General features: G+C 48.4%; 2 protein-coding genes across 26 annotated transcripts in view, besides 1 other annotated feature; one reads left to right on the top strand and one right to left on the bottom strand.

Annotated features, from left to right (window-relative positions):
* Positions 1-4,756, top strand: part of CD99L2 (CD99 molecule like 2) — a 132,333-nt gene extending 127,577 nt beyond the window's left edge. For all 8 annotated transcript variants that reach the window (NM_134445.4, NM_134446.4, NM_001184808.2 and 5 more), the window contains 2 exons: positions 723-788; positions 1,991-4,756. In NM_134445.4, the coding sequence (NP_604394.1) occupies positions 723-788; positions 1,991-2,058 (134 nt within the window). In that variant the 3' untranslated portion in view covers positions 2,059-4,756. The remainder of the gene's footprint in view (positions 1-722; positions 789-1,990) is intronic.
* Positions 3,295-3,404: a silencer, noted in NCBI's record as "silent region_21053". NCBI's record gives its function as "represses an Ori minimal core promoter by ATAC-STARR-seq in GM12878 lymphoblastoid cells {active_cell/tissue: GM12878}" and the evidence as "EXISTENCE:reporter gene assay evidence [ECO:0000049][PMID:35858748]".
* MTMR1 (myotubularin related protein 1) overlaps positions 5,984-27,603 on the bottom strand; it is a 72,147-nt gene continuing 50,527 nt past the window's right edge. For 8 of the 18 annotated variants that reach the window (XM_005274765.4, XM_005274766.4, NM_001306144.3 and 5 more), the window contains 4 exons: positions 26,639-26,731; positions 20,249-20,362; positions 15,227-15,403; positions 5,984-8,527 (listed from right to left, as the gene is read on the bottom strand). In XM_005274765.4, the coding sequence (XP_005274822.1) occupies positions 8,363-8,527; positions 15,227-15,403; positions 20,249-20,362; positions 26,639-26,731 (549 nt within the window). In that variant the 3' untranslated portion in view covers positions 5,984-8,362. Of the gene's footprint in view, positions 8,528-15,226; positions 15,404-19,851; positions 20,063-20,248; positions 20,363-26,638; positions 26,732-27,603 lie in introns of those variants that run through there. The other 10 variants (NM_001353992.1, NM_001353991.1, NM_001353994.1 and 7 more) reach the window with 5 other exon arrangements.

Raw genomic sequence — 27,603 nt, 5'->3', positions numbered from 1 at the left:
CTCTGCAAGCAGCAGCAGGGGTGGGGTCCACTCTAAGAACTTGAACACTGGCCCTTGCTGGCGGGAGGGAATGCTTGGTACAGTCCCCGAATCCCTCTTGTAACAGGTGTAGAGAAAGCCTAGATAACTAACTAGACTGAAGCAGCTGCTGGTGGGCTGGCCCCTCCAAGCTCAGGTGGACACAGCGGTTATTCCTGCTGCTGGGAGGAGCAGTTGGCCTCCGCGCGGGTGTTGCTGGGAGGCTGCATGTTGGCAGGAGGCTTTGCTGCATCTACATGCTGAGCCCCACTCAGCCATCCGCCCCTCCCTGCCCTGCATCCATCAATCACTCATAGCGATTGGCTCCCTGGCCCCCGGGCCGCACACGCACACGGACCTGTGGATGGTGCTGAGCCCTGCCATCGGGCGCCCCCTCCACTGGGCGGAGCTGCCGTCTTGACGCGGTGGCAGCTGCCCTATGAGGATGGAGTGCCGGAAGCCTTCGCTGCATGTCGTTGTTATTTCTGAGGACGATGATGAGAACTCCTGGGCAGTGAATTCTGGGACGAACAGTCTTCATCCGGATAAGGATGTTCAGGTGGCTCAGGGTGCAGGGTTTTGAGTTCCCCAGGGGAGCTGTGCTGCTTTTTTAGCTGCAGAGGACTTGGTCAGGAGTTCTCAGTCACGATTGGGGACCCTTAGGTCCTGTGCGCATCACTAACTCTGCCCTTTTCCCTTTGCAGAGGGTCTCAACGCAGACTACGTGAAGGGAGAGAACCTGGAAGCCGTGGTATGTGAGGAACCCCAAGGTGAGAACTTTGTACTCACTGTCCCTTGCTGACGCTTTCCTAGTTGGTCCCAGCACTGAGCAGAACTGTGCTAGAGAAGCAGGGAAGCACAGAGGCGTCTGCTTCTAGAATGTCCGGCCAGAGCAAAAGCCTGCCCTGATGAGCCTGCCTCCCAGTTTCAGGAGCCCAAAGATGCTGGGGTGACAGCCAGGGCCATCTGCTGCCATGCCTGTGACTTCTGGGCATTGCGGCTGCTCGGCCCCTGCCCTTGATTCGTCCGTCCGAGCCAGAGCCCCAGGCACCTCTGCTCCCCATCAGCGAATACAATTACATCCTGAACAGAGCCATGGGGAAGCTTTTCACCTAGACCTAGAACTTTTCCCTTTGCAAATTGCCACAGGCAAGAGGGAACTTGGGTAAAACCCAGACCCTATTGTCAACACCTGTGCCCCTCCCTCCCCCTTCTGTGGTCATCAAGCACTTTCTGGATTCAGGAGCTGTTGGCAATTTGAGGTCGCATAAGTTCAGGCCACAGGCCTAGAGTGCCCAACTGCTCGAGGCAGATATGACCTGTGCCCACGGGATGCCAATGAGGAGGTCCGGAAAGGCTTGCTGGGGTCGGGGAGCAGCCGAGGCCTGGTGGCGCAGGCAGGGAGACTAGGACAGCTCAGGCGAGTGTTGCCAGTGGAACTACAGTGCAGCAGCCGTGGGGACTGGGCCTGGGAGACCAGGAGGGGCTCAGCCTGTGTGGTGTGTACTGGGAGCCAGGTGCCCTACAATGCTGCTGAAGACGGGTGGCAGTGCTGCACCAAATGAACTAAAATAGGCCTGGGTTCAGATGTGGAAAAATGGATTCCGCTGTCGCATCCACTGTCATGAGCTTTGCCACGGTTAGCCACCACGAGGCCAGCATCTGTGTGGGCAGGTGCTAGGTTGAGCCCTTTGTTTAAAATAACCCTTCCAGCAGCGCTGGCAGGAACACGCTCATTTTTTAGGTGAGGAGATGGAGGCTGAGCTGTTTCCAGAGCCTGTCCAGCTTTCTCTTTCTCTCCCCTTGACCGGCCCAAAACTGCTCCCAGGCTCAGGAGGGAAGGTTGCTAAGCGGCCCCCCAGGGGATACAAAGGGAAACCCAGTTCTGTTCCCAGCACGGGCTTGCTGCTGTATTTGCTTCTTCTGTGCAAGACAGAGCAGAATTCCTTCTGACGGCCTCTTTTTCCCCTAGTGAAATACTCCACGTTGCACACGCAGTCTGCAGAGCCGCCGCCGCCGCCCGAACCAGCCCGGATCTGAGGGCCCTGTCCAGCTGCAGGCATGCACAATGGTGCCACCGCTTGTCACCCGGCTCCCCCCACCCCTTCATTTGGACCCGCAGCTGCTGTGCTGCTCTGTGCCATCGGCTCCTTGTTGGTCTGAGTTTCCCGGATGAGCTCTGGGTGTTTGTGAGTTTGGTTTCTCTGCCCTGCCCCAAGCGTGCTGAGACTTGGTGCCGAAATTCAAGAGCCAGCTCTGATAGAAAGCCAGCACCAGCCTCGGGAGCTGCTGAGCCACCAACTCCCAAAGCCAGCCTGCCTCCAGCTTTACTGAGCACAGGATGCGGGGGCCAAGATGATGCTGAGGCCTGATGACATTTATGCTTAGGGGACAAGAGTTTGAACTCAAGGGACTGTGACCCCTGCACACTGGAGTGGCTCATTGTGGCAGGTTTCTGCCAATAGACAGCCCCTGACAGTGGCCTCAAGGAGCTGCAGGTGGGGGGCTCAGCCTGCACCCACTTGGAGCCCCTGCAAGGAGCGAACCGGTCAGCACCAAGTAACACCACACACACGCAGCACCCAGGATGATGGTTTCACTTCAGTCTTCCCCATCCCAGGTTTTATGTTGCTGGGCTTCCGGAGAGCCGGTCCAAGCGGAGGCTTTCAGTGATTTAAGTACAAACATGCATCTCGTGATAGTCCTGCCTTGAGAGCTTAGGAATCTTCCGGATAAGTATGAAGCAATTCGTAGGCCTGTTTCCCATCTGATTCCATAGGGGGCTGGGTGTGGCCTTCGGGTTGACATGAGAAAGGTCTTTAGCAATCATTTCTGCACCGGAGATGAGTTTTATCCTGTGTTGGGGAGAGGTGCTCACCCTCCACCCTGTGTCCCTGTTTTGGTAGCAAGAGTGACCGATGTCAAGAACGAGCATCAAAGCCAGAATCCTGCTTGTTTGCTTAAAAATGTAATTGGGGGCGGCGGGGGAGGAGAGGGGAAAGAGACATTCGCTTGGTTTAGTGAAACGCAGGTGACTTTGTAGCTCTGTGGTCAGCCTACTTGTCTGCTCTGAGGGAGAGTGCGTGGGGAGCCATGCTCACCGTGGCAAACACAGGAACCCCATGACTCGCCCCTCACCTGGCGTGGAGCTGCCTGGTTTGGGCTGGAGCAGAGCTGGTTTCCTGGAATGTTCCTTTGGCCCACATATGGTTCTGTCCCGGTGAGCTCTGTTGTCAGAGGCTCACGGGACAGAACCACATGCTAGGGTCTAGGGCCCCTGTCTACTGATAGTCAGTTTGCTGTGTCAGAAAGCACTTCTGAAAGCAGATATGAGTCACCAGACAGGCAGGATCTTACAAAACTCACGGGCCTCTTTGGTCTGCATGATGGCCCCATGCGTTTCATAGGCTGTCCACTGAGCGGGATTGTCTGCTGAGTGGGATGAGCCAACTCCAGTTTCTTAAGGAAACCACTGGAATCTGCAGCCCCCACATGCATCTGTCTAACGCATGCCTCGTGTTCGTTTTGCAAACATGCCTGTGGTGGAGGGTGGTCAGTTGTAGCCCTGTGCGTCTCAAGGCTGCCTTGTGAGGCCATTCCCAGTGCGTGCCCTTGAGCTCCTTACCACCCCTTTTCCTGCTCGGCCCTTTAATCCCTGACAGACCTGGACTGTGTGGCTGAAGGGGGACCTGCAGCACTGCAGAAATGCCTCTGCGTGGTGCCATGAAGGAAAGAAACCTTGGCCTGGTCTCGAGAAGCTTCCCATGCTTCAGGAAGTTAGTAAGGGTGGGGTGGCTTGCAGGATTGGCCTGTTTCCAGGGCCTCCCACACTCATTGGCCAGATTGTGAACTTTGTCAGGCTTGTCCCTCCCTGATACCAAGTATGTCGAGAACCGATGGCCCCACCCTCTGGCTGGTGCTGGGCCGGAGGTGGCTATGGAGGATTTTGGCATGCGTGGCCTGTCGCCACCTGGACAGCGTGACCTCAGGGGTTGTCCACTTTACCTTTATGGTGAGGCCTGTCGGATGGCTAAGTCCTTGAAACCCTAGAGCTGTGACGTAGAATATGTGCTGTCTGTGAGACCGTGTTCCCAGGAGCACTGACTGCAGTTGAGAGAGACCCATTTTGCTCTCCCTTACCGCCCCCCGCCCCGGGTGCTTTCTGCACAAAGCCTAGAGCCTGGCACTCAAGCCCACCGGTGGCAGCTCCTAGTGACTGGACATGCCTGGAAGACCCCTCAGCCTTCTGTTTGCAGAACGTTCATTTCAGGAGCTTCTCCTTCCCACAGACATCTTACACTTGCTCGACACTGCCACCTGCAGAAGCCTGGCGGGCTCTGGTCACCATGTGTCTATCTGAAGGTTGCACTGGCCAGCATGGGCCTGTCCCAAGCGAGAGGGGAGACACAGTGGACTGAAAGGACTGGTTGAAAGTGGCCAATCTCTATCAGCTTAATTTGGCAGAGAAAATTTGTAACAACTCTGAGCACATGCTGGGTGAAGTCACAGCTCAAGGAAAGATAAAGCTGGGCGGAAGGAGGTGTGCGTGGCTTCTGGGGTGGGACCCAGAGGGGAGGCTCTGGGACAGGGGCTGGGGTTCAGTGCCAGGGCCCTGAGGAAGAAATGGGGACTGATCTCAAAATTCCAGAATTCCCTGTACATCTGTTCACGTGCTTGTGTCCAGGTGTGACTTGTAAACTGTCTAGTGTTTGCATTAAATAAAATGGCACCGAGCAGATTCTTGTCTTCTGATGGTGTTAAGGCACGCCCTTGGTCAAGTGTTGCCACTTTTCCCTAAAGTAAGTAATTTATGATGCAGAGCTGCCCTCCTCCCCCTCCCCCCGCCCCGCCCCCAGCTGAAGGTATTTCTCGAGAAGCTTAGAATTCTTGCATTTACCCCTCAGTGACTGGCTCAGTGTCAGGACTTCCAAGGGTGACTCCTCACCGTACAAGCAGCTAAGGCCAGGGGATGTGGAGCGACCAATGTCCTGGGGTTAGAGAGGGCAGAGGCAGGAGCAGAGTGCTGCGGGGCCGCTCCCGGGCTACATGGGTTGCGCAGTCCGGGGCCTGGAAGCAGCAAAAAGTCCCAGGCTCACAAATCCCAAGTCGACTGCTCTGCCGCCTTCCAAGCAGGCTGGTAACCAGTGGAGGTTCCAGTTAACGCGCAGTTGTTTTTCAACCAGAAAGCTGGGTGAGAAAGGAGCCCTGCACCTCGTCACTTGTTGCAGCCTCATGGAGAGTGGCCCGTTTGGGATGAAGTATGTCCTTCTCATCAGCTCGCATGTTGGCTTCAAATTGAGAAGACGACAGTTCAGTTCAGGGCATTTCAGCATGAAAACAAACAAGATGCAGTGGACCCTGGGTTTTAACATGGAGGTCGGTTGTTTGTTTTTTCATTTTGTTTTGCCAACCTCGGCTTCTAGTGAAATAATAGCATCAGGTCCTCTCAAACCCGAGACCACCATATGCCTGTCTCGTGCAGGAGTTCTGCATGGCTAGCTGCTATGGTCTCACTGCTGGGGAAGGCTGGCTGGCAAGCAGTCCCCTGGGCATCCTCTGTGCCCAGTGAATACCGGGCTCTCTGGCTCACTCAGTAGTAACGTGTGTGGAGAGGGACAGGGACCCCACACCCTTAACAAGAAGACCGACAACACACAGAGGGCACAGGGGGTGGTGTGATTTCATCCAGGCCTTCGTGGCCCTGAAAAGGTGAACGCCCCTTCCTTTGGGGTGGGGGCAGTCTGAGGCCTTAGAGAGCACTGCACTTGCATGCGAAGGACTCATCACCCTGACTGGCTCCTCTCAGGTGTCTCCAGACCTTTCCCCAAGTCGTCCACGTTTTCTCAAGGTTAGAGCTGAGGGCGTTTCTGACTTTACAATCATCAATCAATCAATCAATCAATCAATCAGTATTTCCTGTTTCAGCCAAAATACTTACTTACTTACTTACTTACTTACTTAAGACTCATGATACATTTACAATTTACTGAATGAATTAAATCACATAAAGTTAGTTACTTTACATCATCATATATTAACTGTGCTTGACGCACAGTAAACATTCAATCCATGTTATTTTATTACCGATTTTCCTCAAAGGAAAAATCTACTAAGATACTTACTTACTTACTTAAAAAAGACCAGGGAGCAAACATATGATCATTTTAATTACAGATGATTGAAATACAGTGCAACAGATGAGACAAATACAATACTGTACCAGTTTTTAAAAACCTGAACCATAACGGCTTCGCATTCTAGTACACTTACTTACTTAAAACAAAAATTGCTTAGATAACAAAACTATACTTCAAGTTGTTTTAGAAACAGTTCTGCGCTAGGAACATACAAAGGAAAATGACCCGTTGTGCTTCTTTAAAATCGAATGAGAGTCTCCTCTAGGGTCCTGCTGACAGAGCCCCCCCCAGCCTCCGCCAGGTGAGGTGCACAGGGCCCACTCCAGGCACCAGCTCCCCCCAACTTGGCTTCTCTGGTTTGTCGAAGGCATCATCCAGTCCACACTATGTTTAACAGTCCTAGTCAGCCAGGGGATTACATATTTCTGGGAAGAAAATGGCAAATGTCCCCATTAAAAAAAAAATCAGTATATCAATAATCCAGTATATCCATTCATAAATAAGCTTTCAGATATGTTAGGAACATAAAAGCTATTGTTGAACACGACTTAGCAACAAATCCCACATATGATAAAAAATGGAGAATTGATTTTAGGTTATCAAATTACCTTGAATAAATCTCTCTGGTATCTTCTTATAGAAGGATAATTTTCCGTAAGAATCAGGAGGTTCCCAGTTAAAAAAAAATCCATTCTTTCTCTCTCTACGAAAAAACCCTTAACATATTTTCAAAAATAATAAGGTCAATCTGTAGGCCTTTGCCTGGAATCCAGTAGTTTGAAACCAACCAGCTAACACTGCTATGCAGTCACACTGGGGTTTGACCTCAGGGGCCGCTGCAGCTGCCTCTGCCTCTAAAGGCTGAATTCCTGCAGCCAGTGGCGGGGTGGGGGGGCAGCTGCAGCAACAGGCACGGCACATGGGAGGGGCATGGCCTGCTGGGGCAGGACCCAGGTGTGCAATAGTCATCTGTGGCATGTCACACAGAGGAGCTCAGAGCTATGGCGCTCAAGTGGATTGAACCAATTGGTAAGTTAGTTAATTCCTGCGAGAACCGACGGAGTCACAGAGCTCAAAGTCAGTAAGTAAAGGTTCAGGAGCGGGAAGAGAGGGCTGACCAGCTGCGGTCGGCTCTGGGAAGGGAAAACCAAGGGAAGTGCGTGCTATGCTTTTCCAAACCAAAGCCACAGCACGGTGGCTGCTTTCAAATATGAACAGGCAGCCACGCGAGTAAGCTGAGTTGAAGGAATTGTGATAAAATGAGAAATGATTTCATACAGGCAAATAACATAAGAACAGACTTGCTTTGATCCCAGCAGCTGGCTGCGGTAAAGTGGGGGTGGGAGACATGGCTAGACAGCCCAGGAGCGAGTGACAGGCAGTGCTCCTTGAAGGAGCCAGAGGCCAGCACCTGTGCACAGCTGCCAGAGGCCTCGGTTTACCCTCAGCGGGGCTGGAAGACTGAGCATGGCCGCTTGGTGCCATCCCCATGAATGGGCTGAGCCGCCCCAAGAGGCGAGTACCAGAGTGAGGTGAGGACAGAACACGTTGCCCTTGAAATTGCACCACAGAAAAACGAGCATGAGGTTTGTTGGAAAAGAATTTCTCCCACAGTACAGTTGAGCTGATCCCCCCTCGGGTGACTATTCTAAACGTAAAAAAGGACATAGGAAAATAAAGGCCTGTTTCTCTTCTCTAAAAATACCTTATATGTACACAACAGTAATTGTTAACAGGAGGACCCCGTGCATGAAGAAAACTGTGGAACAGAGGGCAGTGGCCTGTCTTCTCCCCAAGTACTTCATTCAAGACAGTTTTCAAGTTGTGGCCAAGAGCTGAGGGAAGCCACGGGGCTGGCAATGCATCTTGAAGTGAGTGGTGTTTGTTGTTACTGAAGGATTTAAGTTGGAAAGAAATGGCGTACAGCTTTCTTGAACCTCAGTACTGCATTCCGTTCACTTAGTTTCTCCCAAGCTGCCTGAATGCCAGAAGTTGCTTCACAGGGTGGGCGTGACAGACGGCTCCCCTGTGAAACCGCTGACAGGAGGGTAACGGTTGCCAACAGTGGGAGCTGTCACCTAGCCACACAAATGGTCCCTGGGCCTAATCCTAAAAGACAAGATCACAAGCTACAGCCATAACAGTGATCGCCAGGTCCCTTTCCTGAGCCACCGGGAGACAGTGGAGCAGCAGGCTGACCTCGCCCATCAGACCGAGGTGTGGACGGAGGTGGCGGAGTGGGAGGGCGAGGAGCCCCGCTCAGATGAGGATGAGACGGCGCGCGTGGCCACCTCCCGCTGTAGGCCCTCCACACGCTTCTGCAGCTCCGCCCTGACGGCCAGCAGCTCCTTGAGATTCTGGTGAATGGGCATCTGGAGGGAGCAGAGACAAAGCTGCATTATCAGGCCATCCTCCTACCACAGCGTTTCCACATGGAGATGCTGTTGGCTTCAGGAGCTTTTCACCATCCAGACTCCTGGAGCGGCCAAAGTCTCCTGAGGCGTTGACCGATCTCGCGTCAGGTGGACAATGGGACCCCATCCCATGAGCTTTGGCTGCCACTGAGGCCGCCCTGCAGCTCCGGGGGCCGAGCCGCTGAGCCGGGATGAAAAGGCACCATGGGGAGGCTCCCACAGTTTCTCAGAAGACAAGCAGGCACGGGGACACTGCGCACCATGGATCAACCGAGGGCGCCGTGTGCAGACTCGGCACGAGCAGTGTCCTAAAGACTGTGCGTCAGAAATGTTTCCACGCAGACCCCTTTCCAGCATCTCCATTATCTCTGTATTTTTGCATTTTTATAAATAGCTCTGCTGACTGAAAATCCTTCTGTTAAATCAGCACTTTTTACAACTTGAAGCTGTGTTTTCATCAACCGGAGCAGGATCTGCCAGAAGCCCCCCGGAGCGGGCAGTGCCGGCAGGGGGGTGGGGAGCCTCCCCAAGGACCAACCCCTCCCTCCTTGCTCAGCATCACCGCAAGGCCTCACCTTTAATTAGCTTTTCTCTTTTAAACCCATCAACTGTGGGGCAGGGGTGAATATAAACAAGAAAGGTTTTCCCGGGGCATATGGGACATCCAGTCCTGCTATTTTATAGTCATAGCACCCAACCCACTCGCCTAACAAGCTGTCCCCAGCAGCTACTAGGAGGCCAGACATCCGAGACCCAGCTTTTCTCACCTGGAGCTCTTTGGCTGGGGGCAAGGCTGACCAGAGTGAGGGGTCACCGACTGGGCTGAGGGAGAAACAGGGTGGGGTCTGGGGAGCTCCCTAGCCTTCCCTTGTCTCTGATCCCATGTGTAAACAGCAGCCACAGGGCTGGCTCCTAAGCCTCAGCCAGGCCATGTGACTGGCCACTTAACACCTTCCAGGGACTTCTTCCCCCTGCCCTGAGAGGGGCCTCGAGGCCCTCTGCAGTCTGGCCCCAGCCTGGCCCTCTGGCTCATCTTTCACCAGGTCCTTCCCCCACTCCCTCAAAGACTGAGCTGTTCCACCGTGTGTGCCAATGGTGATCAGCCCTCCTGGAGGGAAGGGGGAGACGGAAGGAGGATGAGAGCGAGACCGCAAGGGGGCAGCCAGGTCCCTCTAATAACAAGGTGCTCAGTAACCAGCACCCAGTGGGCTGAGAAGAAATGACCCCCTTGGGCAGGCCACAGGAAGAACAGAGGGGACAGGAGTGGAGTGTGATGGCAAAGGCAGATCCCACAGGCCTCTGGGAGGTGGCACCAGCTCCTCTCTTACCCTTAGGACCCATCTGGCATGCGTTTTCCTGTCTGTAGGATCATTTAATTCTGATCAGACAAGGGACGCCTTGCAATCAAGTTCCCATTATCCATCTACAGGCATGTGACCTCAGCAAGAAGCAAGACACGCAGGGAAATACACCACTGACACACACCCAGGGCAGACCCAGCACTGCTCAAACGCACCACTATCATCTCTTCACCAGCTGTTTGCATCTTTTCTCACCTATTTCTTTTCTTTTTCTTTTTTTTTTTTTTTTTGAGGCGGAATGCAGTCTCACTCTCTCCCCCAGGCTGGAGTGCAGCGGCACGATCTCAGCTCACTGCAACCTCCGCCTCCCGAATTCAAGCGATTCTCCTGCCTCAGCCTCCTGAGCAGCTGGGATTACAGGCGCCCGCCACCACTGTGTCTGGCTAATTTTTGTATTTTTAATAGAGATGAGGTTTCACTATGTTGGCCAGGCTAGTCTCGAACTCCTGATCTCAAGTGATCTGCCCGCCTTGGCCTCCCAAACTGCTGGGATTACAGGCGTGAGCCACCGCGCCTGGCCTACTCACATATTTTCATTTGCAACAAATCAAGGGCATGCCTGAAGGAATAGAAAACTCGGAGGCTTAAACAGAGGATTGTGTTAGAGAAAATTCCCATCTAAGGGCCAGTCATGTTTGCCGCATGGGTACTAGCATCACAAGACATAAGGCAAGACAGTCCCAAAGGAAATAGGACGCCCCTGGGCCTTCCACACCCAGCCATCCTCTGATGGATGCCCAAAGAACCCCTTTCTCGGCAGCCAATCGAGCCACTGCCTTCTCAGAGAAAAGAGGCCCAACAGGCTTGCATCTGCCCTGTCGTTTACCCCCCTGCACTCCCTCCCCTCCCCTCTCTTCCTCCTTCTCTCTGCCTCACCTGGCTCCTCAGGCCCTGTCACTGGACACCCACACCAGCCACTGATCTCTGCCTGTCTTCAATGCACTCCCCCACCCCCATTCCCACACCTAGGAGGTGTCCGACACATGCCTGTTGCATACAGGATAACAAGCTGCGGCCCATGTACTCTTTTTTGGTTCTCTCTTCTGTGTAGCACAATGGAGGGAGAATGCAAAAAGCAGGACCACACACCTACTACCCTCCGAGCACAGTGCACTTGGAATGGATTCACTTCCTGCTCAGCAACCCCCTGTGAGGTCCCCGTGAGGCTCAGGACCCTGCTGCAGATCAGGCGGTGAGTCACTGCCAGAGACGGGATCTGGCCCTGTCGGGGGCATCCTTCCACAACTACACGCACTGGGCAGCAAGATTTCAACCAAGTCACTGCTTCTCTGACCCTTCCCTCATTCTCTACGTCGTGGAATTGCTGGGAGCGTTAACTGGGATCATGTGTGTACAGAACCCACTGGCACACAAGAGGACTGCAGGTTATAGGCGCTGTCGCTGTGGTTTCCATCATCATCATGATGTTGCAGGTGGCTTCGCCTACATGAGTGAGAACCTGACCACATCTGGGAACAGATCTGTCGCGCAGTTTGTAGGTTTTAGGAAAGGTCTGTTACCTGCCTCACGCGGCGGGCAAGAATCTGAGCCTGGGTGCACCCCTGTGGGACACCACTCTAACCCTCTCTGCTGGTTCAGCATTTCTTCACCTCTGCAACCTGCTGCACAAGGGGGAGCGTGGCAGGGGTACGGGGGTCTCCTGCAGTAATCGAGAGGCTCTGTTTAGCCAAAGGCACTCCAGATCAGGCATGGTTCTGTTGGATTTTCTGCTAATGTTCATGACACTCCACCAACCACCCGGGCCTTTGAGTCACCAAGAATATCACCTGGTAACCCTATGTGATTTCAGTAACATAGTGACTTCTGACACTCTGTAGCCCATCTTCCCTGTTGCCAAAATAGATGAAATAGAAGCCACCCAGGACAGAATAACTCAGCAAGATGCCTAAGTAGAAATACACATCAGTGAAGAGGAAGGTGCTGGAAGGGGGATGTAGGCTTTGGTTCCCAAGTTGACCACTGACTGGAAAGAAGTGCTTGATGGGCCCCTGTGTTTAGCATCTCAAATAATGCACCTGAAGTCAGAAAGGAGGACAGTGCTGGACCTGGACTCCAGTGACAGGGCAGCAGGTCACCCTGCACATAGACTTCTTGGGCTGAAAGCCAGGAAAGAAGATGCTAATGGGACCAGCAACCTCTCACGCTCACTCATAGTTCCTGGGCACATGGACCATTTCAAAGACAGCTCGCCTTCAAACTCAGTTCTCATCTGGGGAAGGATTCAATCTAGTGACAAGCAGTTATTAGATTAATAACTTAAAGATCAATTAATAACAAGCAGGGACATGTCTTGCAGAGCACAAAGTCTAAAGGGAGAGATAAATGTAATTTTTTTTTTTTTTTTTGAGACGGAGTCTCACTCTGTCGCCCAGGCTGGAATGCAGTGGTGCAATCTCATCTCAGCTCACTACAACCTCCGCCTCCCAGGTTCAAGCGATTCTTCTGCCTCGGCCTCCTGAGTAGCTGGGATTATAGGCGTGCACCACCACACCTGGCTAATTTTTGTATTTTTAGTAGAGACAGGGTTTTGCCATGTTGGTCAGGCTGGTCTCAAACTTCTGCCTCGTGATCTGCCCACCTCGGCCTCCCAAAGTGCTAGGATTACAGGCGTAAGTTACTGTGCCCGGCCAGAAATGTAAATTTTTTTAAAAAGAGGAAGAAGGAAGCTAAGTTGATGCCAGGAGCTCAGGTGGTGGCCAAGTGGCAGAGGGCGTGGGGAGCTGGAGCCATCGGGCAGCCACAGAAGGTGATGTCTGGGCTGTTAGGCAGGAGCAAAAGGCCTCTCTGGAGGAAGGTGGAGCGTGGACACAAGGCAGACTGAGGCGGGGAGAGTAGGTAGAAAGCTGTCCCAATATCCCAGAGGACTGGGTGTGGAGGGGAGACCTGAGGGAGAGGCCAGTGGGGACAGGACAGGTTTAGGGTGGGCAGGTGTGAGTCCTCTGTAGGCTGAGGGGCAAGAGCCACCACAGGGAGAAGGAATAAATGCAGGTTCAAGGGGCTGGAGAGAGCAGATGTGCAGGGGGAACTGGCCTGCAGCAGAGGGGCGCACCTCTTCATTCACTCATGCGTTCATTCAGTCACATCTGTCGAGTCTCCGTTAGTTGCCAAACACCATGCTAGATCCTGAGGGCCCTGTGGTTTCAAAGCCTGTGGTGTGTAGGGGCAGCAGGCAGGCAAACAGGCCGGTGCAGTATCGAGTGTCTTGGGGAATTCTACAGACTGATTATTAGCAGCGCCTCCACTCTCTTTCTCAAAGTACGCTAGTTTGGGCAATCAACATAGGGCCGCCAGAGCACTAGGTGAGCAGGGAAGAGGGCGCTCAACGGGAAAGGCTCCAGGGCAGCACAAGTCCCAGCAGCTCCCTGGCTAGTGGGAGAGGGACACAGATGCAAGTCTCTCCTATCCAAGGAAGACTCTGGGAAGAGCTGAAAGAGGTGATCAAACACTAGTTGTTTTCATACATGTGAAGACACAAAGGGCGGCTCATTCACACGGGGGATCTGCTTCAAGCAGGGGCAGGGCGTGTACAGGGGAGATGTGGCTAAGGGCACCCTAGGATGCAGGAGCACCCCTGCAGCCAGGACTCCTTCCCAACTCCCCAGGCCCAGCGTACAAGTACTAGGCTGAATGAGCACCCATCACAGTGTTCTGGAAAACACTCCTGAGGTCGTAAGGGTGGCAGGGCCAACTCAGAGGGTCCAGAGGAGAAAAGCATTTGCAGTGGAAGCTTTGTGGAACAAAATAGAAAGCCATCTAGGAAAGAAGAGGCAAGTGATGACTAGCCTGGTCTGTGGTAGAGGGCAAAGGATCCAGTGAGGAGTGGCCAAGCAGCGGCCTGGGGCAGCGGGGCGCACCCAGCAGATGGAGCATGGAGCTAAGGCCACCAGTGAGGGAGCTTTCCAGCTGGCAGGCCGGGGTACTATAGTGACGTATCCTTGAGGTTCCAGGGCCAGGCAGCTGAAAAGGAACATGAGCAGTTCAGACTGCCCCATGGCTAGTGGAGTGTGGAGACGATCTAGAGATCATGAAGACCCTAGGTGAGAGGGATGAGGGAGCAGGAGGATGGAGAGGAAGGCAGATTTCTGTATCATTGGCTGACAGAGCAATGCTATTAAACAATGCCCTGGGTACACGCTCCTGATGGACTGCAGTTAAACTCTGAGAGTATTCAAGTCAAAAGAAAAATCTCAGGCCTGGCGCAGTGGTGCACACCCATAATCCCAGCACTTTGGGAGGCCGAGGCGGGCGGATCACTTGAGGTCAGGAGTTTGAGACCAGCCAGGCCAACATGGTGAAATCCCGTCTCTACTAAAAATACAAAAATTAGCCAGGCATGGTGCTGTACACCTGTAATCCCAGCTACTTGGGAGGCCAGAGCAGGAGAATCACTTGAGCCTGGGAGGCAGGGGTTGCAGTGAGCCAAGCTCATGCCACTGCACTCCAGCCTGGGTGACGAGCAAGACTCCGTCTCAAAAAATAAATAAATAAAAAAGAAAAAAGTCTCAGCAGACAGTTATCTGTCCATGGAGGTACAGGCTGCCTCTATCTGTCTTCTTCACCACCCAGAACCAACCATGCCCTGGCCACCCATGTGGAGACTGGGGGTGCGGGGCAGGACTGAATCCAAACCACGACACAGTGGAGGATGTGGGGAGCCCTTCAGGAACCCGCAGCCAGAGCTCAGCCACTGAACACAAAGAGAGGACACAGGCTTGGCGGACTGGCCCCTGTAGTGCACCATTCTCTAATTTTGTTCAATCTCAGAAAATATTACAGTGAAAAAGTGTGGTGGGGAGGGGCAAACTCTCCCCCTTCTTCAAAGGGGCACCTGTTCTGTGATTCAAGCACCTGCCCTCCTACTGCTGGACTAACAGGGTCTATACACTGTAGCCCTGATGCATCTTCCACACGCCTTTCTACCACCTCTACGTGGAAACAGGGAAAAGGGCTGCCACCCCAACCCCCATATCTGCAGGTAAAGTAGTTTATAAGAAGAAGGGCCAAGCACTGGAGCACATAGCATTTTATGTACCTCATCAGTACGAGACAGAAGTGCTAAGACTTTTTAACTGTAACCCAGCAAACATCATCAGAGTTGGCGTATGGGTGGAACCTCCTGGAACATGAATGCAAAGGATTGAACCCTGACAGGAGAGGGCAGAAGACGGTCAGTATGGTATGTTAATATCTACCATTAACACATTTTCATACCACCATCTTTACTTGGAAAAAAAGGCAAACTCTCTCATTCATGAAAAGAAAAACAAAAAGATACCTGAGGTCTCATCCGTGGATTCCATCGTACATAATAATTTACCCACAATTCCAAATGACTCAGACTAGCAACAGGATATAACACGTGGTTTTCATAATTCACAAAGAAGGGATTAGAAAACTCGTCTAGCTGGCTATTGATATACGACCATAAAGATATCGTCTTTGTATATACATCCTGAAAAACAAAAAAGAACATTGGAAATAAACTTTTCTTCATATCATCAAGAATTAGTATTACACCGAGAAAAGGACTTGAATAATGAAGTGAATTCAAACGCTGAAAAATTCATGAATGTCTACTAGGTCCCAGCCCCACCTTCTTCCCACTCATGGCCTCATGGTGGGATGAAATGAAAACACACTGCTTGCTGTCCTGGAAAAACATATTGCTGAAGTTAGGTAGCATCCGACAACTGTGTCTATGGAAAGGCAGAGTGAGAACTTTCTAACAACCACAGGATGATAGGACCCACCAATAACAAATATAATTTTGAATTCTGGTGTAAGGTTTGCTTTTGTAGGCTGGGCACAGTAGCTCAAGCCTATAAGGCCAGCACTTTGGGAGGCCACATTGCGAGGACTGCTTGAGGCAGGAGTTTGAGACTAGCCTGGGCAACACAGTGAGACTTTGTCTCTACAAAAAAAATAAATTTAAAGATTAGCCAAGTATAGTCCCAGCTCCTCAGGAGGCTGAGGTGGCAGAATTGCTTGAGGCCAGGAGTTTGAGGCTGTAGTGAGCTATGATTGTGCCGCTGTACTCCAGCCTGGGCAATAGAGCAAGACCCTGCCTCTAAAAGAAAATAGAGCTTTTGTGACTCCTTTTTTTTTTTTTTTTTTTGAGATGGAGTCTCACTCTGTCACCCAGGCTGGAGTGCAGTGGCATGATCTCAGCTCACTGCAATGTCTGCCTCCCGGGTTCAAGCAATTTTCCTGCCTCAGCCTCCCGAGTAGCTGGGGACTACAGGCGCACGCCACCATGCCCGGCTAATTTTTGTATTTTTTGGCGGAGATGGGGATTCACTGTGTTGCCCAGGCTGGTTTCGAACTCTTGACCTCAAGTGATCCTCCCACCTCGGCCTCCCAGAGTGCTGGGATTACAGGCATGAGCCACCTCACCTGGCTGTGACTCTTAATATTGAGAAATGAGAATAGATTTTACAGTTAAGGTTCCTTGTGCTGGAAAATCATAGCTATCTGGAGGACAATGTGCTGTGGTGCAGGCTGGAGAAGCTCTATAAAGACAAGTAAATATATCACTAAGTTATCTCTTCTTCCCCTAATTTTGTAGTACACTATTCAGAAACACTGTACCTACTTGCATTGCTCATCTGAACAAAAACACCCAAATGTGCAGGCATGGTGAGGCAGGTAAACGTTAAACAATGGATCAAGCACAATGACAAAGTCAAATGAGAAAACGGCAAGGCCAACAGCATTTTCTCCCACTCTGCTGCTGACTTCCCATGAGCTATCTAAATACAGGAACATTCAATTAGGACCATTTCAATTTGTATACATTTATTTATTTATAAGAGAAACACCAACAAAAATTCAAAGGATCTGGAATAGCTAAAATAATCCTGAAAAAGAACAAAGTAGGAGGACTCATACTTCCCATTTTCAAAACTTACCACAAAGCTACAGTAATCAATGCCAGCAGTGCTGGCGTAAGGACAGACATGCAGATCAATGGAACAGAATAGAAAGCACAGAAATGAACTCTCTGACATTTACGGTCAACTGATCTTCAACAAGGTTGGCAAGAAAATTGAATGAGGGAAAGAAAATCTTTCCAACAAATGGTGCTGGGACAGCTAGATAGCCAACACACAAAAGAATGAAGTTGGATCCTTAATTCACACCGTATACAAACGTTACCTCAGAACAGATCACAGACCTAAATGTAAGACCTAAAAGTATAAAGCTCTTAGAAGAAAACAGGAGCAAATCTTCATGACTTTGGGTTAAGCAATGGTTTCTTAGATATGATACCAAAAGTGTAAGCAGCAAGAGAAAAAATAGATAAATTGCAGTTCATCAAAATTAAAAACTTTTGTGCTTCAAAGAACACCATGAAGAAAGTAAAAAAAAACAACCCCTAGAGTGGGAGAAAATTTTTGCAAATCATGTATCTTATAAGGGACTTGAATATATAAAGAATGTATAAGGAACTCTTACAACTCCATAATAAAAAGGACAAACACCACAATTTTAAAATGAACTAAGGAGCTGAATACACATTCTCCACAGAAGATATGCAAATGGCCAATAAGCACATGGAAATATGCTCAACATCATTAGTCGTTGGGGAAATGCAAATCTAAAACCACAACATACCACTTCCCACTCACTAGGATGGCTATAATTTTTTTAAAAAGGAAAATAGTAAGCGTTGGTGAAATGTGGAGAAATTGGAAGCCTCAGACATTGCTCGTGTGTGCAACTGCTTTGGAAAACAATCTGGCAGTTCCTCAATAGGTTAAACATAATTGCCACATGACCCGGCAATTCCACTCGTAGGTATAAATGAATGAAGGCGTATGTCCACATAAAAACCTGTACATGAATAGTTATAGTAGCATTATTCCTAAAAACCAAAATGTGGAAACAATCCAAATTTCTATCAACCAATGAATGGATAAACAAAATGTGGTCTATCCATATAACGGAATATTGCTCAGCCATAAAAAGGATGTATTGGTGCATAGATGAACCTTGAAAACATTACGCTAAGCAAAGGAAGACAGTCATATAAGTTCACCTATTGTATAATTCCATTTCTATGAAATGTCCAGAATTGGCAAATCCGTAGAGACAGAAAGCAGATTGATGGTTGCTAGGGGATAGGGGTGGGGGAAATGGGAAGTGATTGCTACCAAGTATGCCATTTCTTTTGGGGGTGACAGAAATTTTATAAACTTAGGCCAGGCACAGTGGCTTACACCTATAATCCCAGCACTTTGGGAGGCCGAGGCGGGAACATCACTTGAGGCCAGGAGTTTGAGACCAGCCTGGGCAACACAGCAAGACCCCAATCGCTACAAAAAATAGAAATAAAGAGATTTTATGAAATTAAATATTGATGATGGCTGCACAATATGTGAATATGCTAGAACCATGAAATTGTACATTTTAGATGGGTGAATTTTATGGTATGTAAATTATGTGTCAAGAGAGCTCATTTTTTTAAGAATGAATTTTGCACTCCCCCTCTCAAAAAAAAAAAAAAAAAAAAAAAACAAGATAAAGCCATGGTTAAAATTCTATATATGAACTTCATTCTTCTGCTTCTGATTTTATTTGTTTTAAATAGCTTTGAGATATAATTCACGTAACACAAAACTCACTCTTTTAAAAATGTTTTTCTTTTTATTAGGAGGTTAGCAAGTCCCCATCACACTGGGCCCGCAGGAGTGTGGATTTTACTCTAACTGCAGTGGGAAGCAGGGGAGAGGCACATGATCACATTTCAGTTACTGAATGCTCGCTGTGGTTGCTATGTTTAGAATGGACTACTGAAGGTCAGAAAGAGAATCAGGGAAGCCCATTCCTGGGTTTCTGCCTTAGTCCAGATGTGAGACAGTAGGAGTGTGAGACAGTAGGGGCTTGAGCTAGGCTTATAGCTGTAAGGCAGTTAAGAACTGGCAGATTAAGAATATACTTTGGGCCAATAATCCTAGCACTTTGGGAGGCTGAGACGGGCAGATCACCTGAGGTCAGGAGTTTGAGACCAGCCTGCCCAACATGGCGAAACCCTGTCTCTACTAAACATACAAAAAATTAGCCGGGCGTGGTGGCGGGTGCCTATAATCCCAGCTACTCGGGAGGCTGCGGCAGGAGAATCACTTGAATGTGGTAGGCGGAGCTTGCAGTGAGCTGAGATGGCGCCACTGCACTACATCCTGGGCAACAAGAACAAAACGCCGTCAAAAAAAAAAAAAAAAAAAAAAAAAGAAAGAAAAAGAATATACTTTGGGACAAGGCCAGCAGCATTCACCAGGGGACTGGATGTGGTAGCTAGGGTGAGGGTGAGGGAGGAGTGGAAGGTGGCTCCCGTGTATTTGGCCTCGGCATCTGGATGGCCAGTGGTGCTGTGTACTGAGATGCAAAAGAGCAGGGGAGGAGCAGGAAAAGGCATTTAGGTCCCTGAGGCGAGACAAAGTCACTTAGAAAGACGGAACAAGAGTTGAGGGGAGAAGAGGACCTGGGACTGGGCCCAGGTGACTCCAACTTTAGAGACTGGTTAAAATGGCAGCCAGTCAGAGGAGACTGAGCAGGGGAGGCCGAGGAGGCAGGAAAGAGGCAGGACCAGGTGGGGTCACAGAATGAGGGCACTGTCAACTGTGGGGAGGCTGCTGAGAGAGGGGGAGGCGGGCGTTACTGACAGACTGCTTTCTCCTGAATTCTATACTGTCCTAACATACTTGGCTCACAGGCATTGGTCCTTGTCTATTAACAGGATCATATACTCCTTAAGCTGCCTTTTTCCAATGCCTTCTCACTTTTGACCACGTTTCTCTTTTATCCCACACTGAGGGAAAAAGAAAGAAATGAGATGTAACTCTGAGAAGTTTGGTAACTGCTTCTTTACTACTTTGATGTAAAAAAGTGTTAGCTTGCTACCTAAAGTGGGCTTTTTGGCTAATCAGCAGACTCCATTTCCAAGGCCTTCAAGTATGATCTGGCCAACACCACAGAGGATGAAAAGCAGAATCCCACGGTTTTGGAGTTGGTGCAGCGGAGACTACATGAACTCGGAGTCAGGAGGTCCAGGGTCTAGCACTCATCTACTCCTGAGAGAGCCACGGGCTCGCTGGGTCCCAGCCCCCCATGCCTAGAAAGGAAGGGGCTTGTGTTAGACACATGCGGTGGGGCTGGCCAGAACCCTGGGAGGGCATTTACAGTCAGCAATAGCACCAGAGCGCAGTCCTCCCTCCCCTCAGCCCTCCTACAGTAGCACTTCCGAGGAGAGGTGCCTGAGCCACAGGGAAAGCAACAGACAAGGATGCAGCATACTCACCTCTTTGAATCGCTGCTGTTCACAGTTGCACAAAAAGGTCCCAAAAAGACAGCTATAAAGGTGATCCAAAATTGTAATCAAGAATAGCTCATTAAACTCGAATGCTGAAGGAAACTTAAATGAAGAGAAAAATAAGGTTTAGTCATAGAGTCCAATTTCTAAAAGTAATATTACTTTTTTATGAAAGACAGCGAAACTACAACTTGGAATATAGTCAAAGATTTAAAGGAAGACTGAGCCCATGTAAAGTTCAACTACCTACAGTTTTAGGTCCAAACTTATAGATCTGGCTGAGAAACAACCAGCAGCAACTAAATTTGTTGTACTCAATGCCCAGAAAAGCTTATGTAGCTTCCACTTCTCACCATGGCGGCAGGACAGAGCCCAGACTCACCCTTCTGTCAGAAACATCTAGCAAGCTGGATACAATATAAGAAATGACTGTTTTCAGACACTGGCAACAGGCAGTACTGGACTGTGACCCTGAGAGAAGGGAAACAAATGAGGGGAGCCCTCTATTGTGCCAGCTTCCCCGCTGCAGCCACATCCCAGGTCGGGGGTAAGGGGAGCAGTACATCCAGTCATAACATGTACCCAAAGTGACTCAAGAAGAATAGAAAATCCGAATAGCTCTGCATCTATTAAATAAACAACTCCTAGTTAAGAACCTTCCTACAAAGACAACTCCATGACCATACACCCCTGAATTTTTTTTTTTTGAGACGGAGTCTCTCTCTGTCCCCCAGGCTGGAGTGCAATAGCACCATGGCGCCATCTCGGCTCACTGCAACCTCCACCACCAGGGTTCAAGTGATTCTCCTGCCTCAGCCTCCTGAGTAGCTGGGATTACAGGTGCGCACCACCACGCCCGACTAATTTTTGTATTTTTAGTAGAGACGGGGTTTCACCATGTTGGCCAGGCTGGTCTCCAACTCCTGACCTCGTGATCCACTCGCCTCAGCCTCCCAAAGTGCTGGGATTACAGCACGCCTGACTTCTTACCAGTGTAAATGAGCAAGCTGAACCTGGCAATACATTTTAAAAAGGTAACACAACATGACCAAGTGGGGTTTACTTTACGAATGTAAGCCTGGCTTAACATATGAAAATCTATGTTACAAAACAAATCAATTACTGTAATTCACCATATTGGCAGAGTGAGGGAGCAAAACCACAGATCGTCTTGATTGTTTTAGGTAATTCTTGATGGGATTTTGCAGAATTCCAGTGAAGACTATTACTATTGCCAGCAGGTTCTAGCCAGTAGCTGGTGTGTTGTGGCCATGAGATGATCTGGAAGTGATAATAATTACCCTAACAGCAGGCATGTGCTGAGTGCCTACCATGCGCCAGAACTCTAATGTAAAAACACAGTAAAATATTCATCACCTACTCAATGAAGCAAAGCCAAATAGTACTACCCAGCATGCTTGTATTTAAGTTGGTTTACTTAAAAACCTATTCTTCAATCAGAGTGCTGTGTGCACACTATCATGACAAATCTTCACATCTCCAGAATGATCACATCAGGATCACTGGTAGAGAAGTTTATTTTTTAGTTTAGCTTTACTACTAGACTAGCACCAGGCTTTTCAATTAGAACAATGGTCAATCCAGGACTGTCCAAACTCCACCTGAAACTGTTTTCTTCACCAGGCTATTATATTAGCTGACTTAAGGAATTATGCTCAGATACCGTGGATTAAGATTTGCTTCTCTCTCCATCTTAAGGATTGCTCTCAGAAACACACAACTCTCCTCTAAGGAATCCCATCAGAATATTACTGCTTCAGAAACCTCTGGAAACTAATTCTGGTGGTTCTTACTGGCACCCTTGTTCTTAGATGAACTAAATCAATGATGTGATGTCTCTGGCTGAAATGCTAACAATATCTACTGGTTCATCCTTTCTTGGAGCCTTTAAGATTGCCCCTCGCAACTCTGACAGTGGCCTCACATTTCAAACGGCTATCTTTCTCTATTTCTCTCTCTCTCATTCATGCATTTATTTATTTAGATAGGGTCCCACTTTGTTGCCCAGGCTGGAGTGCAGTGGTGCGACTGTGGTTCACTGCAGCCTCAACGTCCCAGGCTCAAGTGATCCCTCCCACTTCAGCCTGCCAAGTAGCTGGGACTACTGCCACAACCCAGCTAGTTTTTTTTTGTTTTTTGTTTTTTGTTTTTTTTTTGTAAAGACAAGGTCTCCCTATGTTACCTAGGCTGGTCTTGAGCTCCTGATCTCAAGTGATCCTCCCATCTCGGCCTCCTAAAGTGCTGGGATTACAGGCATGAGCTACCGTGCCCGGCTCAAATAGCTATCTTTTAACAGGCCAGGCACACTATGTCCAATTTTCCCAGGACTTCTCTATGCTGCTTAGTTATGCCCTATTCATAAATTATTGGCACCACAGAATTTGTGAATTGTAAGCAAATATATGACATTTTTGTGTACTAAAGCTTTATTAAATCAAGGATAGGAATGAAAGATCCAGGGTTTTGTCCTATATTTTATAATTCTCAAACTTTTAAAAACAAATGTTTACTAAAAGATAGCAAATTATTGACATATTTTCAAGCCATATAAGTGCTATGAACTGAATATCTGTATCCCCCCAAAATTTCTATGTTGAAATTCTAATCCCCAAGGTGTAGTATGAGGAAGTGGGGCCTTTGGGAAGTGATCAGGTCATGAGGGTAGAGCTCTAGTGAATGGGATTAGTGCTCTTCTCAAAGAAGCCCAAGAGAGCTCTCTTGTTGCTTCCATGATGTCAGGTTACAATGAAAAGACAGCTAATCTATGAACCAGGAAGCAAGCCCTCACCAGACACTGAATCTGCTGGGGCCTTGATGTTGGATTTCCCAACCTCCAGAACTGTGAGAAAGAATTTCTGTTGTTTATAAACCACCTCATTTATGATATTTTGTTACAGCAGCCCAAACAGACTATGACAATGAGTCTTCATTCCTAGCCCCTGAGCCTGCATTGTAGATTTGGGAGCTTGGAAAGGTGTGTTCTAGAGTCAGTGACAACAAGCCTTATTCTGGTCACTGGGTACCAGATATGGGAGGTCAAAGTGGGCAGGGCTCAGTCCAAGCCCATTGGCACCCATGAAAACTGGAAAACAAAGGCTCCACCTACTCATGTTGGGTCAAGACTGCCATTTATACTCAGGGGGTGTCATGGCATTAAGCTCAACTCAAAAAACAGCTCATTGGAGGAAACAGTAGCAGGTGGAGTAATATAAACGAAAGATTAGGTCGCTGCAATTCATAGTTTGTTTTGGCCTCTTCTCCTGGAAACTGTACCTTTTACCTAAAAGTACGATTTCCGAAAATACATAGCACAGTAATCTATAATAAAATTCTGCACCTCCTTTTTTATTGTTTTAGAGACAGGGTCTCACTCTGTCACCCAGGCTGGAGTGCACTGGTACAATCATAGTTCACTGTAACCTTGAACTCCTGGACTCAAGCAATCCTCCTGCCTCAGCCGCCCGAGTAACTGGGACTACAGGTGCACACCACCATGCCTGGCTAATTTTTTAATTTTTTTTTTGAAGAGATGGGGTGTCTCACTATGTTGCCCAGGCTGGTCTTGAATTCCTGGCCTCAAGCGATCCTTCTACCTCAGCCTCCTGAGTCGCTGAGATTATAGGTGTGAGCCACCACACCTGGCCCCAATTCTGCACCTCTTGAGGAACAAAAATATCAATGACTATTAAACCTACCCAGAGGAGTAAGGATTGTATTAAACTATGGATATTATTGAGTGTCTTTGGGACTCTAAAGAGTCCCTCAATTATTTTTCCCTTAGTTTCTTTGTTCACATACAGACTAGTTCATTTTATTCTGATATTTCTGACAATTTTACACTGCATAGCTTACTTAACAGTAGGCAACCTAAAAATAATCTTTCCTATGACTGCATCTTATACCTGCTATATATCTCATTCATTTCTTAATGAACTGATAAAGACTAGTCATGGATGTCTGTGCTAATGCATTAACAATGTAATTTTAAAAGAAATTAATTATACACACATTTCACAGACAGAATCTTAGAGCTGTGAGAAGCATCTGAAATCTTCTAATTCAAACCCCTTTTCTTAAAATCCAATAAAAGCACAAAAATGACATGGCTTAGACATGAAAACAGGCACTAAGCAGTATAAAGAATGGAGGTCAGTTTGAAGATGTTTAAAAATCCACATTTGGGAGGAATAAGCTATTTCACATCCACCGAAATGGTGCTCATCCCTTTAGAAGCACTGCAATTATTTTTTGTGTTCAACCTTTTTATGCAATTTTTCTAAAATGTGTTTCATACTTTCTTGTCCTAACCTGAACATGACAATCATTTAACTTTCTTATTGGCTCAGCATCAACACAAATAGCAACAGTGCCTGGCTCTATAAAACAGTAAGGCTTCAGGCCAGTCTTCATGCTTCTGGAGTGTGTTTGCTGCTACCTTTCACATGCACCATCAGCACACCTACCTCTGGGACCAGCCCCTCTTACCCAGGCCAGCTCTCTAACAGGCTATCTTTAATCACCTGTGACCTGGCCATCAGATCATGTGAGACCCCAATCAGTTTGTTGAAGCTGGGTGTAAAAGTCAGTGTTAATTTCTAAGTGAGGGCCTGAGGACTCCATGAAATCTACTTTGGCTATTCAGACTCCCTCCCCTTTGTTCCTTATTTCTAGAGGTATGTCTCTGTGCTCCCTTGCCACTGAAAATGTGATCTGTGACCCGATGGCATCACCTGAGAGCTTATCAGAAATGTGGCATCTCAGGCTCTGCCTCAGCCCCACTGAATCAGAATCTGCATTTCAATAAGAGTCCCAGGGGACTTGTGTGCTCATTAAGGTTTGAGCAATGTTAGTCTACAGCAATGGTCTCCAAGTTGAGCATCCATCAGCCCCCAGAAGGGCTTGTGGAACCAGAGGGCTGGGCCCCACACCCAGAGCACTGGAAGGTCATCAGTGAGGCTGAAGTTTGGTGTCTCTAACAAGTTCTCAGGACCACATTTGGAGCACTAAGCTAGATCACTGGTTGTCAAACTCATTTGCACATCTGAATCACCTGGGGAACTTTTACACACACCTAAGCCTGTCTCCAGGCTCACAGGAAGAAGGTTCCCAGGGGCTGGCTGTGTGCACTCAAGGTGGAGAGCCATCTTCTGAGTTCTCCAGGTCCTCCTCAGGGCAGAGCTGCTGGGGAGCCGGACAGCACAGGCAGCATCATGACTATCAACCTTCCTTCTGCCCCAACACACACTGCCATCAGTAACAGTAGCTCTCAGTGGGGAAACAGGCCTAGTATTTCACAGACTTTCTGCAGTAGGGAGGCAGATGTCCTCTGAAAAGGCCCTGGGCTGATGGTGATAAGGCTGCGGGAGGATCAATCAAGAGCAGCAGGGCTATTGGTAGCATCCCCGCAGATCACCGGCAGTGTCCTGGCTGCTTCCCTTCCCCGTGACTGAAGCAGCCAAGGCCAGAGCTCCTGGTGAATGACTAGCAAGAGAAGGCTCAGACCCTGGATCTCAGCCCCCTAACTTGTTCTGTACCCCATAGCCCCACCCTCAGCCAGGTTGCGCAGCAGGCACTGGGGAAACTACTCTCTTTTGCCTCTCTCTCTGGTTCCAGGTCCATTGCCCTGGCACTGTCTCTTATCACAAGGATAGGAGACCAAACTCAGGTTTAGATGTTGGAGATGAGGGGGAAAACAACGACAACAAAACAGTGCAGGAACTATGGCCTTATGGCCTACTTTGAACTGAAGCCAAAGGGCCTGACCAGCTCAAGGGAAGGGGATCCCTAGATGGCTCCCTTCTTTACCAGGGCCCTGTGCATTGGGGTTTGGGAACGATGCACCAGCTAATAGCAAAATGCTATGCAGCTTCCTCTATGCCATTGGTTCTTGGACACTCATTTCCCTCAGTGACCTTGGGTGGGAGAGGCTCTGGACTGGGGCAGAGTGTGGAGATTCCTGGATTGCCTGGTCTAATCCCATGTACTAGCAGTTCATTCCCATCCTCATTTCTAACATCTGGCCAAATCTTAGATGAACTGCTCAGCAGGAGACTGTACTTCCTTAACCTTTTGAAGGGGAGCAAAAGCAGCAGAATCTATAGAGGAGTAGGGCCTTGGTTTGGACCTAGTGGACAAGATGATTGATAAAAACCATTTGCAAAGACAAGTAACTTTTGGTGTGAAATTGGTTGTTTCTAATGTTCTGCTTATATTTCTAAGCGAATTAGAATCAAATTGTGTTAAATAATGGGGTCATATTTTACACAAATTCATCTTGAATGAAACAGCAATAATAGTTTAATCTTTAAGATATATTTAAAGCAAAGACTATATAGAAATATACTTGAAATCTCTCACCTGCCTTGTCATTTGCCAAACACAATCAACAAACTGCAGAAATATGGGAGATCGGTCAGCATCCGCATGGTTGTCATTACCATGGCCCACTCGCTGAACAGAAACAGAAGGTTAAACGTTTTAACGTATGTTATAGTCCTCTTGAAAGTCACTGTAAGTTGTCCAGTGGTAAGAATCACATCTCATCAGGCCTAATAGAATTCCTGGCACATAACAGGCACTCAAAAATGTCTATCAAATCGAAATGACTTCCATTACTTTTAGAAAACAAAATTTCAGTTTACAGTATTTTTACATGTTGTTTTATAATTTCTCTTTAATATAGCTGATATCAAGAAAGTACAAGCAACTAGCTAGCAAACTTTTCAGTTAAAATGGTAGGGTCAAGACCAGCCACCACACTAAGTGTACAGTGTCAACGTAGGATGCCAATTAGCAGTTCATAAAGCACATTATGAATGCCATTTTCTCTACAAGTATAAAAACATTTTTTCCATTTTTCAGAAATGTCAGGAAGTCTGAGAATCAAAATAATGATTAGCAATCTACAACTTTTAACCAATTCTTCATGACTCAGAGAACCCCAACAACTCAATCTTGAAATGGTAAAGGTGGGGTCCTTGCTTAAGGCAGTCCAGTATTGTATTTCATATCTTTTGATACTTTGTAAGATATCAATAGATTCATACCAAAAGGTAAAAGATAGTATTCTCAAATACACAAATAGGATTGCCAAAACACTGAAAATGCCACAAGTAAAAAGATAGCTGAAGGGTGAGGATTCTAAGAGAAGCTTCAAATAATTTGCTATGAGCAAAAGGATGTGGGGAAAAAAACTCATTAAGAAAATACAAAGCAATCACTTAGAAAGAGCAAAAATACTCTATGAAATTGCCACCTGGAAAGACATGAAAACAAATAAATGACAAAATCAATATTAACATCTCAGAGTAACAGTGTATTAC

Source organism: Homo sapiens, chromosome X (genome assembly GCF_000001405.40).
Source record: "Homo sapiens chromosome X, GRCh38.p14 Primary Assembly".
Classification (NCBI taxonomy): domain Eukaryota; kingdom Metazoa; phylum Chordata; class Mammalia; order Primates; family Hominidae; genus Homo; species Homo sapiens.
This window is presented reverse-complemented; position numbering and strand designations above follow the sequence as displayed.